The sequence below is a fragment of the Homo sapiens genome, chromosome 2 (assembly GCF_000001405.40).
Source record: "Homo sapiens chromosome 2, GRCh38.p14 Primary Assembly".
Lineage (NCBI taxonomy): Eukaryota > Metazoa > Chordata > Mammalia > Primates > Hominidae > Homo > Homo sapiens.
The window spans coordinates 86,969,410-86,983,234 of NC_000002.12; the positions used below are offsets into that span (position 1 = coordinate 86,969,410).

General features: G+C 38.2%; 1 protein-coding gene across 10 annotated transcripts in view; it reads left to right on the plus strand.

The window, feature by feature from the left end:
* RGPD1 (RANBP2 like and GRIP domain containing 1) overlaps positions 1-13,825 on the plus strand; it is a 100,318-nt gene that overhangs the window by 55,751 nt on the left and 30,742 nt on the right. For all 10 annotated transcript variants that reach the window (XR_007074605.1, XR_007074622.1, NM_001410915.1 and 7 more), the window contains 10 exons: positions 2,338-2,547; positions 4,664-4,845; positions 4,929-5,104; positions 5,272-5,395; positions 6,319-6,477; positions 6,744-6,881; positions 7,144-7,290; positions 8,171-8,350; positions 8,439-8,522; positions 11,674-11,791. Coding sequence is in view for 8 of the 10 variants with exons in the window: in NM_001410915.1 (NP_001397844.1) it covers positions 2,338-2,547; positions 4,664-4,845; positions 4,929-5,104; positions 5,272-5,395; positions 6,319-6,477; positions 6,744-6,881; positions 7,144-7,290; positions 8,171-8,350; positions 8,439-8,522; positions 11,674-11,791 (1,518 nt within the window). In the remaining 2 variants the exon portion in view is untranslated. The remainder of the gene's footprint in view (positions 1-2,337; positions 2,548-4,663; positions 4,846-4,928; positions 5,105-5,271; positions 5,396-6,318; positions 6,478-6,743; positions 6,882-7,143; positions 7,291-8,170; positions 8,351-8,438; positions 8,523-11,673; positions 11,792-13,825) is intronic.

Genomic DNA, 13,825 nt, shown 5'->3' on the forward strand with positions numbered 1-13,825 from the left:
ATTTGTCAAAATTATTTCTTTTTGCCGTATCAGTTAAGAGCAATAGGTATGGAAGAGATGCGAAGAAATAGCACATTCTTTAAAAAAAATGAATATTTGATATTGTTTGTTCCTATGTGGAGAGGATTTCTTAACTCTTTCTTCATCTGGCTGCTAGAGCCTCTAGCCTGAATATTTAGTCACTTCCTGAACTAAGTATAATTATTGATTTGCCAACCATTTAACACCAGCTGATTCTAAAAACACTGCTGTGGGGATATAAAGATGAAGAAGATACGGATCTGTCTTAAAGAGCTGAGAGCATAGTGAGGAAGATAGAAGATATATACTTACCTTATATTAGGCTCTTGGAATTTGTGGATTTTTTTCCCCCGTTTTTGGCTTGGGATGAATCCTAAAGGTCTGTTGCATATTACCTGTGATTTTGCTAAGATACAAACTTTAAGGTAGTTAGATGGCCATTGAATCAAGCAGTGAACTGAAGAAACATAATGCTTCCTATAAGGAGCAGTTTTGATATAAAATTGGATGAATTTTGTAAAGAGCAAGATGTAATATTAAATCAAAGTTATTATAAGCTTTGGTGTATAGTTAGGCTGTTGGCCAAAGCTCACATTGCTCTTTTATTCCATAGCCCACTTTTTTTGTGGGAGCTAGGCTTTCAGTCCTTAAAGTGACTTTCTACTTTTTTCCTTTTCTCTTTTCCTTCTACCCTTGCAGGGCTCTCATAAGTGCCTTTGCATGGTGTCACAGTTAGATGAAAATTGCCTGTATTTTTTTTTTATGTCTTTGATCTGGGCATCCCGAGGGTGCCTCTGTAAGTGTGCTGAGACACAACTGTGTAGTGGTAACCAAACCTAATTGCCCAGCAGAATTAACTCAAAGGAGGGTTTTTAAAAAAAGTTGAATTGAAATATAATTCATGTACCATACGCTTCACCCATTTAAAGTGTACAGTTCAGTGGCTTTTACTATGTTCATAGAGTATTACCACTGTCACCACAGTCAGTTTTAGAAGATTTTCATCACTCCATGAGGAATTTCTTACCTATTAGCAGTTACTCCCCATTTTACCCAAACCTCTCAGCCTTGGCAACCGCTAATCTGTCTCTGTAGGTTTGCCTCTTCTTTTTTTTTTTTTTTGAGACGGAGTCTCGCTCTGTCGCCCAGGCTGGAGTGCAGTGGCGGGATCTCGGCTCACTGCAAGCTCCGCCTCCCGGATTCACGCCATTCTCCTGCCTCAGCCTCCCAAGTAGCTGGGACTACAGGCGCCCGCCACTACGCCCGGCTAATTTTTTGTATTTTTAGTAGAGACGGGGTTTCACCGTTTTAGCCGGGATGGTCTCGATCTCCTGACCTCGTGATCTGCCCGCCTTGGCCTCCCAAAGTGCTGGGATTACAGGCGTGAGCCACCGCGCCCGGCCGGTTTGCCTCTTCTGAACATTTCACATAAATGGAATCATGTAGTATGTGGTCTTTTGTGACTGGCTTCTTTCATTTAGCAAGGTTTTCAAGGTTCATCTGTGTTATAGCATGTATCAGTATTTTATCCGAGGACTATGATTTTTTGATTGCTTACTGTAAACCTATGGAATAAAAATCTCTGGGAACAAGGCCTGGAAATAATTCTTTTTTTTTTTTTCCTGAGACAGTCTTACTCTGTCGCCCAGGCTGGAGTGCAGTGGCGTGATCTCGGCTCACTGCAAGCTCCGCCTCCCGGGTTCACGCCATTCTCCTCCCTCAGCCTCCCCAGTAGCTGGGACTACAGGCGCCCGCCACCAGGGCCGGCTAATTTTTTTTTTTTTTTTTTTTGTATTTTTAGTAGAGACGGAGTTTCACTGTGTTAGCCAGGATGGTCTTGATCTCCTGACCTCATTATCCACCCAGCTTGGCCTCCCAAAGTGCTGGGATTACAGGCATGAGCCACCGTGCCCAGCCGGAAATAATTCTTAAAAGCTGTTTAAAGGAGGATTCTGATCAGCCAGGTTCAGAAATCAGTGTATCAGATCAGAGAATAAGAGCTTGTCCCTGTTCTCCTATGGCCACTTAAATCCAGACCTTTTCATCTAAAATGCAAATATGTTTGGCATTTTTCATACACATTCCTGTCTTTTTTCCCCCTTCTGCTGTCTTATGTAGATACTGAGAATATTAAACCTGTACTCTTTTCATTTGCTACATAAGCACCCGTTTTGTTGTCCAGCTGTATTTTTTGGGTTGGAGGGTTAGGTCTGCAATAATCATGTTATTTCCCCTTTGGGTATACAAATGAGACAACGTGAGCAAATACAATCTGTATTTTTAAAGTGATGGAAATAACTTAAATTTTTTTTTCAGGGCATATGTTGCTAAACTTAAGTCGTGGCAAGCAAGATTTTTTAAAAGAGGTTGTTGAAACTTTTGCCAACAAAAGCGGGCAGTCTGTGTTATATAATGCTCTGTTTTCTAGTCAGTCATCTAAGGATACATCTTTTCTTGGTAGCGATGATATTGGAAACATTGATGTACAAGAACCAGAGCTTGAAGATTTGGCTAGATACGATGTTGGTAAGTTATATGTTTCAGAGGAAATGGTCTCCGTCTTAATTATTATAAATTGCCCATAATCTTATTACCCAGAAATAACGACTTAATATTTTCCTGTATTCCTTTTGTGTGTGGGTTGGGCTGGGGGGAGTTTGAATGTGGTGCTGTAGGGGTGGCATGTATTTTTTGTTGTTGTTGTTGTTTTTGAGACCAAGTTTTGCTCTTGTCGCCCATGCTGGAGTGCAGTGGTGCGATCTCGGCTCACTGTAACCTCTGCCTCCCGGGTTCAAGTAATTCTACTGCCTCAGTCTCCCAAGTAGCGGGATTACAAATGCCCACCACCACGCCCGGCTAATTTTTTGTATTTTTAGTAGAGACGGGGTTTCATCATGTTGGTCAGGCTGGTCTCAAACTCCTGACCTCAGGTGATCCACCTGCCTTGGCCTCCCAAAGTGCTGGGATTACAGGAGTGAGCCACCGCGACCAGCCTTGTTGTATTTTGAGACAGGGTCTCGCTGTGTCACCTGGGCTGGAGTGTAGTGGCGTGATCGTAGGTCACTGCTGCCTTGAACTTCTGGGCTCAAGGGATTCTCTTGCCTCAGCCTCCTGAGTAGCTGGTACCATAGGCACATGCCACTCGGCCCAGATAATTTTTTTTTTAATTGGTAGAGACAGGGTCTCCCTTTGTTGCCCAGGCTAGTCTCCAACTCCTAGGCTCAAGTGATCCTCCTGCCTAAGCCCCGCAAAGTGTTGGGATTAGGCCTGGCACAGTGGCTCATATCTGTAATCCCAGCACTTTGGGAGGCCGAGGCGGGCAGATCACCTGAGATCAGGAGTTCGAGACCATCCTGGCCAACATGGTGAAACCCCATCTCTACTAAAAATACAAAAATTATCCGGGGGTGGTGGCATGTGCCTGTAGTCCCTACTCAGGAGGCTGAGGCAGGAGAATCGCTCCAACCCGGGAGGTGGAGGTTGCAGTGAGCCAAGATCACACTGCTGCACTACAGCCTGGGCGACAGAGCGAGACTTCGTCTCAAAAACAAAAGTGTTGGAATTATAGGCATGAGCCACTGCATCTGACCATATTTTTCATCTAAATGGTTGTTTATGTATGATTTATCTTGCTTCCTTCATGAATTCTCTCCCATAGTCTCTGTATTAAAACTATAAATATCACTTTTATTGGCAATATAATCTTTTTTATGAAGTAGTCATAATTTGCTTGCAACTTTCTGTTATTGGGCATCCAAGTTTTCTCAACTTTTCCACTGTTAATAATCATACTCTGATAAAAACTTCAACAAAAAGTGTCTTCATTGCAAGTTATTTCCATAGAGATACCTAAAAACAGAATTACTGAGACAAAGGACATGAACATCTTTAAGTCTTGCAAATTGCCAAAATGACAGAAAGATTATACCTCTTCATGCTTCCAGAAGCGCATAACCTTTTCTTTTCTTTTCTTTTCTTTTTTTTGAGACAGAGTCTCGCTCCGTCACCCAGGCTGGAGCGCAGTGGTGCAATCTCGGCTCACTGCAACTTCCGCCTGCCAGGTTCAAGCAATTGTCTTGCCTCAGCCTCCCAAGTAGCTGGGACTATAGGCATGTGACACCATGCTCGGCTAATTTTTTGTATTTTTAGTAGAGACGGAGTTTCACCATGCTGGCCAGGCTGGTCTCGAACTCCTGACTGCACATAACCTTTTCAATATTGACTTTCTTGTAGAAAAACAGATTTCTTTACTGTACCGATGGATTAATATAGTGGTGTTCCATTGCTTTAATGACTTAAAGGAAAACCCATTGTTTTGGGGTTTCTTATTAGGTTAGGTGTTCTTTATTTGGCTTTTGTCAGTTGATTTTGGTTTATTGAGTTCTAGTCAGTGTCATTTTTTAAGATGGACTTAAACATTCTTCATCACTACTATTTTTATTAAAATTTCTAGAAATAATCAAGTGAGAATGCATTTAATAAGAACATGAGATTTTGCCTAACATAGAATTCCCTCCAGCTTTGATATAGAAAAGCAGTTATATAATTAAGATATATATAATGTGAATTGTTTATGTTGGCAAAACTAATGGCACAAAGAAAAATTTCAAACCCTTAAGCCAATTTTTTTATTTTATTTCAGGTGCTATTCAAGCACATAATGGTAGTCTTCAGCACCTTACTTGGCTTGGCTTACAGTGGAATTCATTGCCTGCTTTACCTGGAATCCGAAAATGGCTAAAACAGCTTTTCCATCATTTGCCCCAGGAAACCTCAAGGCTTGAAACAAATGCACCTGAATCAATATGTATTTTAGATCTTGAAGTAAGCAAAGATTTTAACAAATTAAATATTCTGAATTTTGTTTAATTTTTTTTTCTAACTTAACTTTTCCTTAAATAAAACAGGTATTTCTCCTTGGAGTAGTATATACCAGCCACTTACAATTAAAGGAGAAATGTAATTCTCACCACAGCTCCTATCAGCCGTTATGCCTGCCCCTTCCTGTGTGTAAACGGCTTTGTACAGAGAGACAAAAATCTTGGTGGGATGCGGTTTGTACTCTGATTCACAGAAAAGCAGTGTAAGTAGTAAAACAAAAATATTGCTTTCACTTAGTGCGTAGGTTTTACCGGGGATTTAATCCTCATGTGAAGATTTAATTTGTCATGTGACCCATTAACATATATGTATGTAAGCGCTGAACTGTGTATTTAGAAAACAATTTTAGTAAATTGAAGTATTTTTTAGACCTGGAAACTCAGCAGAATTGAGACTTGTAGTTCAGCATGAAATAAACACTCTAAGAGCCCAGGAAAAACATGGCCTTCAACCTGCTCTGCTTGTACATTGGGCAAAATGCCTTCAGAAAATGGTGAGTTTTAAAGTATAAGCATTTTTAAAGAACATTACCTTAATTTTTTAAAATCATGCACTTTTTATTGAAAGTTTTTTTGTTCAGAAAACAGCAGCTTGGTCATATTATGACAGATGTGTTTTTTATTGCTGCAAAATAGTTAATGTAGTTAAATATAAGCACTTAGAGGAGCAATGCCTGGCACACAGTGAATGTTACATATTAGCTGAGCTGTTACTGTTATTCCTTAATAATTAAGTTCTGATAATTATTCAGCCTGAAAATTAAAAAAAAAAATTAGCACAAGGCTTTGTAGGTAAGACCATTATAGATCTTTCTAAATATTTAAGGTTTGTTTTGTGTCACCATTAGGTGAAGATGGTCAGCCTTTTGAACAAACTGACACTACAGAAGAGGCAGGTTTCAGCTATCTAAAAATGGCAACTGTTAAAAAGTAGTTGGGATTGCTACATTAGGGTGGTATCATTAGAAGTGTTTAAAAGTTGAGTGTAGAGGCCGGGTGCGGTGGCTCACATCTGTAATCCCAGCACGTTAGGAGGCCGAGGCGGGCAGATCACAAGATCAGGAGATCGAGATCATTCCTGGCTAACACGGTGAAACCCCGTCTCTACTAAAAATACAAAAAAAAACTCTACTAAAACTACAAAATTAGCCAGACATGGTGGCAGGTGCCTGTAATCCCAGCTACTTGGGAAGCTGAGGCAGGAGAATTGCTTGAACCTGCACGGCAGAGGTTGCAGTGAGTTCACTGGTATTAAGGTGGTTTAGTTATTACAGTATTTGGAAGTTGAACAAATGACTATTGAGGTACCATTTGGTTTTGACTTGAAATTTTAGCCAGTTCTTACAACCTGTAAATGAACTTTAGATCTAATCATGCGTGTTCCTTAAAGTTGTGTGCTTTTAACTTTCTTTTTTAGGGCAGGGGTCTTAATTCTTCTTATGATCAACAAGAATACATAGGGAGAAGTGTTCATTATTGGAAGAAAGTTTTGCCATTGTTGAAGATAATAAAGAAGAACAGTATTCCTGAACCTATTGATCCTCTGTTTAAACATTTTCATAGTGTAGACATTCAGGTAACAGAGTTCCTTTATGAATTTATTGGAGATGGGAATTTCCAGTTTATAAACAAAGACGTGGAGCTATAAACTGCTTAAATTAATTGCCTTGTTATTTAACGGTAATCTTGTTTTCTAAATTCACTAGCTCTCACAGATAAGATATGACAGAGAAGAGTAATGAGATGTTTGTCTCTTAAGATCATATAAAATCTTTGGAAAATCATTTGGGTTTTATATTCTGAGTATAAACAATTTGACTAAAAACTATTCTGTGTGTTTAGGCATCAGAAATTGTTGAGTATGAAGAAGATGCACACATAACTTTTGCTATATTGGATGCAGTACATGGAAATATAGAAGATGCTGTGACTGCTTTTGAATCTATAAAAAGTGTTGTTTCTTATTGGAATCTTGCACTGGTAAGTAGATGCAGTACTTGAGCTAAAAGTTTTATTTATTTATTTATTATTTCTTTTAAAAGACGGGGTTTCTCTGTTGGCCAGGCTAGAGTGCAGTGGCACAATCTTGGCTCACTGCAACCTCTGCTTCCCAGGCTCAAGCGATTCTTGTGCCTCAGCTCCCGAGTAGCTGGGATTACAGGCATGAGCCACCATGCGTGGCCAAGCTGAAAGTTTTTTGTTTTAAAAAGCTAATGATTTCATAAAAGCACTATTTGTATAGATTTTTCACAGGAAAGCAGAAGACATTGAAAATGATGCCGTTTTTCCTGAAGAACAAGAAGAATGCAAAAATTATCTGAGAAAGACCAGGGACTACCTAATAAAGATTATAGATGACAGTGATTCAAATCTTTCAGTGGTCAAGAAAGTAAGTAGCAGGTTGTTGTATGTACGTTCTTACTGATAACCCACTGGTCAGTGTTTTTGCGTTGGTCTTATATTTTGGTAATTTCAAAAATACTCAGTAATATGTTGTTATTAATGCACAGAAGGGATGTGTGTGTCTAAATGCTTATATTTGCTTGCTTTGTCTTAGGTTTGGTGTGTCTTTTTAAACTTGGGAATCTAGGTGTTATCTTAGCAGTGTAATCAAAACAAATATTATAACCTCAGGACTAATTCTTAATGAACTTTGCTGAAATTGAAAGTTGTTGCTGACAACTTAAGAGCATTTCTTCTCATCCTCATCAGCCATTATGAACGCCCTTGTTTTCTTGCTGTCAGCTGTTTGAGATTGTCATGATGATGTTAAATTATGTTCAGTCTTCTGAGTGTTTTGTTGATTAATTTGTGTTACTACTCTTTTATTAGGATTTATGTTGTCTGGTGTATTGTAGCATCTGTATTTCTGTCACCATTGAAAATCAGTTAGAAAACATCAGTAACTTATTTTGTTCACTTGGAAAAGCTTTCCAAGTTAACATTCCTCTACAATTATCATGGTTAACAGAAGTAATAGAAAGAGCATGGACTTTAGAATCAGAAGATGTTAGATTGTACAACACTTTTCTGTGTTCATGAAGAAAAAAATAGAATAAAGACAAAAAAATAAAAATAATAATACAAAACAGCAGAAAAACAAAGAAAAAAGATAATTAAAAAACACTTTCACGTGTATTATTATTTAAAGTGTAAAGTGCTTATTAAAATGACAAAAATGTAAATAAGATAAAATATATCATTTTAGAGTTTTTACTTTTGGAATTTTTTGCAAATGAAAGCCCTTAATTAATGTCTTTTATTTTTAGTTGCCTGTGCCCCTGGAGTCTGTAAAAGAGATGCTTAAGTCAGTCATGCAGGAACTCGAAGACTATAGTGAAGGAGGTCCTCTCTATAAAAATGGTTCTTTGCGAAATGCAGATTCAGAAATAAAACATTCTACACCATCTCCTACCAAATATTCACTATCACCAAGTAAAAGTTACAAGGTAAACAGGAAAGAATGGAATCATTTCATTGTGAAATTGTTTCTAAGTGTTTTAAATGCTCTTTTGTTATTTTTATTTTTTTTTTTAGTATTCTCCCAAAACACCACCTCGATGGGCAGAAGATCAGAATTCTTTACGGAAAATGATTTGCCAAGAAGTAAAGGCCATTACGGTAAGTCACTTAATTTCTCTAGCTGTACTTTTTATTCCAAGATTCCTTCCCTGGCCACTCTCTCACTTTTTTTCTGAAGCTGGTCAGAATGTCCCCTTGCCATCCAAATAGTATGGCAAGGGGACATTTTGGTCTTTTTTTTTTTTTTTTTTTAAGGCAGGGTCTTGTTGTGCAGGCTGCAGTACAGTGGTATGATCACAGCTTACTGTGGCTTCGACCTCCTAGCTCAAGAGAGCCTCTTGGCTTAGCCTGCCACGAAGCCAGGACTACAGAGAGTCACACGCCACTAGGCCCAGCTAATTGTATTTTTTGTAGAGATGGGATTTTTCCATGTTGCCCAGGGTGGCCTTGAACTCCTGGCTCAAACAATCCTCCTGCTTCAGCCTCCCAAAGTGCTGGGATTGCAGGTGTGAGCCACTGTGCCCAGCCTACATACCTTGGTCTTGACCCTTTACCATATTTTGTTTTGTTTTGTTTTGAGATGGAGTCTCACTCTGTTGCCCAGTCTGGAGTGCAATGGTGCGATCTTGGCTCACTGCAACCTCCACCTCCCAGGTTCAAGCGACTCTCCTGCCTCAGCCTCCTGAGTAGCTGGGATTACAGGCACCCGCCACCAGGACCAGCTAATTTTTGTATTTTTAGTAGACACAGAGTTTCACCATGTTGGCCAGGCTGGTTTTGAACTTCTGACCTCAGGCGATCTGCCCACCTTGGCCTCCCAAAGTGCTGGGATTACAGGTGTAAACCACCACACCCAGCCCTTTACTATATTTTTGAAAGTACTTTATGTGTCTCTCTCCTCATCTTCCACAAAATTTGAGACCTTCAAAGGTAGAAACTGTTTTATTTAAAATATAAGAGTTCCTGACACAGAGAAGGTTCCCGAGTGATTGAACTGCTACAGTGTACTAATCATACTCTGGTCTATGAGTTCATTCTCAGATTAGCTGTGGATTACATGTGTTTCAAATGTATAGCTAGGAATTGAAAAGTGGTCTGAGCTTCAAAAAGTCTTGCTATATTTTAATACTTCCATATGAATTTGACTTAATTATGTAAGGAAATAGTTATGTATATATATCTTATTTTAACAATAGGGTTCAAAGGAGCTTGACTTTTTTGGAATTGGAAATAAAAGTAGGTTCTTTCATGTTTATCAGGCAAGAACTAAATTATACTGCTAAAGTTACATCAAGGATATGCTGATGTGTGGCGATTATTACAGTGTGATCAGCAGTATTTGCAAATTGAGAGAATACTATTTGGTGGGGAAGACATTTTTGAATTTGCACAAAAATCTTGAATGTTAATTCTGTGTAGTCATGGCCTATGACAATTACATACAATTTTGACTTAACATACAGGTTTCAGGCTCCCAACATTGTATTCTGTGGAAGTATAGTGGAGCACTAGTCCATGAGCTTGAAAAGCTTGGTACTAGTACTGACTCTGCCATTAATTAATGATCTTGGGCCAGTCACTTCCTTCGTGACTGGCTTCTTATCTTTAAAATGAGAGAATTATTGAAGCCAGTTCTCATTACACTGAATGTTAAAAATTACAGTTACAGCAGTGATTGCAAATTCAAAGCTCTGGTGCGGATACCAACAGTGACCATAAAGTTTTCTAGGTGATTCCACTAGTTTCTTATTTCTTGGATGTGTATGTGTAGCATCTGGACTAGGCACTGTAGATGGATGAGTGGGGGAAATTTTATTTAGCTTGAAAATTGAGATAGTTTTGGACCTCATGGTTAGGTCTTTCTGGGAAATTTTTATTTGAAACACTTGTAGAAAAAGAAAGCAGACATGCTAGATCTGTCCCTGACCTCACTTGTTAGAACTGGTCGGATTCCTGGGCTGATACAGAGAAGTTTGAAACTTTTCAAAATTTACCTGTTTTCTGATACCACTACAATTTCTTTGGAAAAAGAATTTCCTGTTAAGTGTCTGTTTTGTAAGGGGACATTTTGTAGGTTCTAGGGTTGGGTATGGTGCTGTCATTTAGTTTTCTTCAGCAGAGATCAGGTAGCCACATAGCTACACTAGATGGCATTGTATCTATCTGCCATCTTGTCAAGGCAGCAGAGTTGTGTTAAGAGAACATTTTTGGAGTCAGATGTGGTTCAAATTCCAGCTGTTATTCCCTGCATCCCTTTCTCTCATTTTAAGATAGGAGCTAATATTGTTTACCTAACAGTGTAGATAGTATAAAAATTAAGAGTTTAAGTGCATTGGACGTATTATTATATACATAATAAATTATCTGCAGCTACTGCTTTTTTCCCTTTCCTGGTGGAGCATTTGAACGTCACCTGGAGAATTAGTTGTATTTTGTTTCAGCATGGGGTTAAGTGAAAAGCTAATTTGGGGAGGTGATTTGGAATGTCAGGTAGTCCAGATTGCAGTATAGAAAGAACACACTGAAAGGATGGTCAGTGTAATGTTAGAGGACTGTGAAAGTTGGGGAAAGAAGTTTAGTTTGTAGGTACTTGTTTTTTTGAGCAGGGAATTGTCTTGGCTGGAGGTGAATGTCAGAAAGGTTAATGTAGGCAAGTGTAGAATGGAAATGAAGGTGTGATCATTTAGGAGGTTATTTGTTTAGGTGAGAGAGTTAATGAATTAGGTTTTGTATTAACGAATGAAAATGGGAGCAGATAAATTTTTAACAAATTAAGAATCATATTTTAAAATCAGCACCAGGTACCTAGAACTCATTGGCAAATAGAAACTTTCAAAAGATATAATCAGGTCCGGGCGTGGTGGGTCACACCTATAATCCCAGCACTTTGGGAGGCTGAGGTGTTGGATCACTTGAGGTCAGGAGTTCAAGACTAGCCTGGCAAACATGGTGAAACCCCATCTCTACTATTATACAAAAAATTAGCCGGGTGTGCTGGCTGACGCCTGTAATCCCAGCTACTCGGGAGGCTGAGGTGGGAGAATTGCTTGAGCCCAGGAGGTGGAGGTTGCGGTGAGCCAAGATTGTGCCATTGCACTCCAGCCTGGATGACAGATCGAGACACCATCTCAAAAAAGAAAAAAAGAAAAAATCAGTTATTTAAATTTAAAAGAGTAAGTTTCCCCAGCACTGTTTCTGGCATGATATAATTAAATGATTAAAATTATTTGATTTTTTTTTCTTCCAATAGAAACTAAATAGCAGTAAGTCAGCATCCCGTCATCGTTGGCCCACAGAGAATTATGGACCAGACTCGGTGCCTGATGGATATCAGGGGTCACAGACATTTCATGGGGCTCCACTAACAGGTGAGCTGGCAAGTGCATAATCGCATATTTTAGTAAAACTACTTTACTTCCCTCTTTTAAGTAGATAACGTGTGAAATCACCTTGTTTATATATGTTTGTTAATATACATGTCAACGTCTGTTTATATGTGACTTCAAAAGCTGTATTTGGTGTTACGGAGATTTTTATAATCCCAAGCAGAAAAAACGAGCCGTATGTGATCACGTGTATATAAAGGCTTAAAGAACACTTAATCCACACCTCAGATGAGCTGAGATGAGATTATTCCTTAAATTGAAAAATGTTATTGAATAGAGTTATGCACTAAGAAATGCTTAATTAAGAACCTACACCTCTGGGGAATTATTTTGATGATAATGATGAGAGGCAGGACGTTATATAGGAAATCTTACTTAATTTGAAATATTATGGTTATATAAAGAAAGAAAAGGAGTTTGGACCTGAATCATACAGGGTTTTTAAGTTCTGCTCTATCACTTACTATAATAGCTGTGTAAGTTAACCTGTCTGAAATGTGGAGATAATACTTGCCTTACATAATTACTATGAGCATTTGTGTATGTGCAGGTGGGCGTGGGTGTGTATCAGACATTTATTAGAGTATACAGTAAACAGTTAATGAACTAAGGTTACTAATAGTGTTTACTGTGGGTTGGCTATGTGCAAAAGTGCTTTGTGAATGTAATTTGATTTAATTACAGTAACTTAGAATGGCCGGTACCATTATTAATCCCTTTTTTATAAATAAGGAAATGGATAAAGAAAGGTTAGGTAACTTACTCATTATTATACAGCTAGTTATTGATAGAGCCGAGATTCACACTCCAGTGGTGTAACTCCAAAGCACTTGCCAGTATAATACATTGCTCCCAGGCAGCCAGAAATAAAAAAATTGTTCCTTTTACGTACGACAGACTTCTGAAATGGTAGTAGTAGTGCCCTTTTTTTTTTCTCTTTTTAGCCCAGGAAAGATTTAGAATAAAATCTAGTTTAGATGAGCACATTTGTGTGATGGTTCCTATAGTTAAGGCAACCCCACTAGCCTTTTGTGATAGTATCTTCTCAACACAAGCAAAATAACAGAAAATCTTTGTGAAGTCAAGCTTATTAAATGTCGTAAGTCATAGATAAGTATATGAAATGTCTAACGTTCAAACCTTGTTTTCTTAAAACCTTACACATCATATAGGTCCTTGTAAGAGGATAAACAAACCGGCTAGCCTTTCCTGGGGCTTTTTTAGTGACGTGTGCAGTCAGTTATTTGGTGCCTTGTGGGTCATGATTTCCATTTCTTCTGTGTACAGGCATAAAAGGTCTTCTGTTCTTATACAAGCATGTAAATCCAACATTCTCATTGTCTCATTTTATTCTTGCAATGACCCTGTGAAATGTGTAGAAGCAGCATATCCTCATTTTACAATTGAGAAACATGGAGACTCCAAATGGATTATTTACAGGTTCACAAAACAGCTTTGTGGCACTGAAAGGGCGAGAGCCAAGATCTCCTGATTTCTGTTCCTGTGTTCATAGATTCTTTTTCCTTAATAAAAGTAAACATATATCAAGATGGTCCTTGTTTTTTTAAAATAAGATGATTAAAATTAAAGATTAATGAGCTCATAGGAGATACTCAGAAGTACTGAACAGGGTGAAGAAAACTAAAAACTAACCACCTTATTAACATTTCTTATATTTGAGAGCATTTCCTTCTGGTTCTTTCTCTATACATATAGTATTTTTTATGAGATTGTTACCATGTTACTATGTTGTGTGTAGATGAGCTAGCCTGTTTTTTAAATGTTACTTTAGTTCTGAGCATTTTTAAACTTAAATGTTTTTTGAATATTAATGAGTTCATGGTGTCCCATCACATGGAAGTACTGTAAATTCTGTTCCTTTATTTATGTTGTTTCTGGTTTATGCCATTACAAATTCTAGGACACTGTCCTAGTTTTGTAGGGTATTCAAAATATTCAGTTTATGCTCTTACCACTAGTATCTGATAGTGCCATTTTCGCACTTTTGCTAATGCT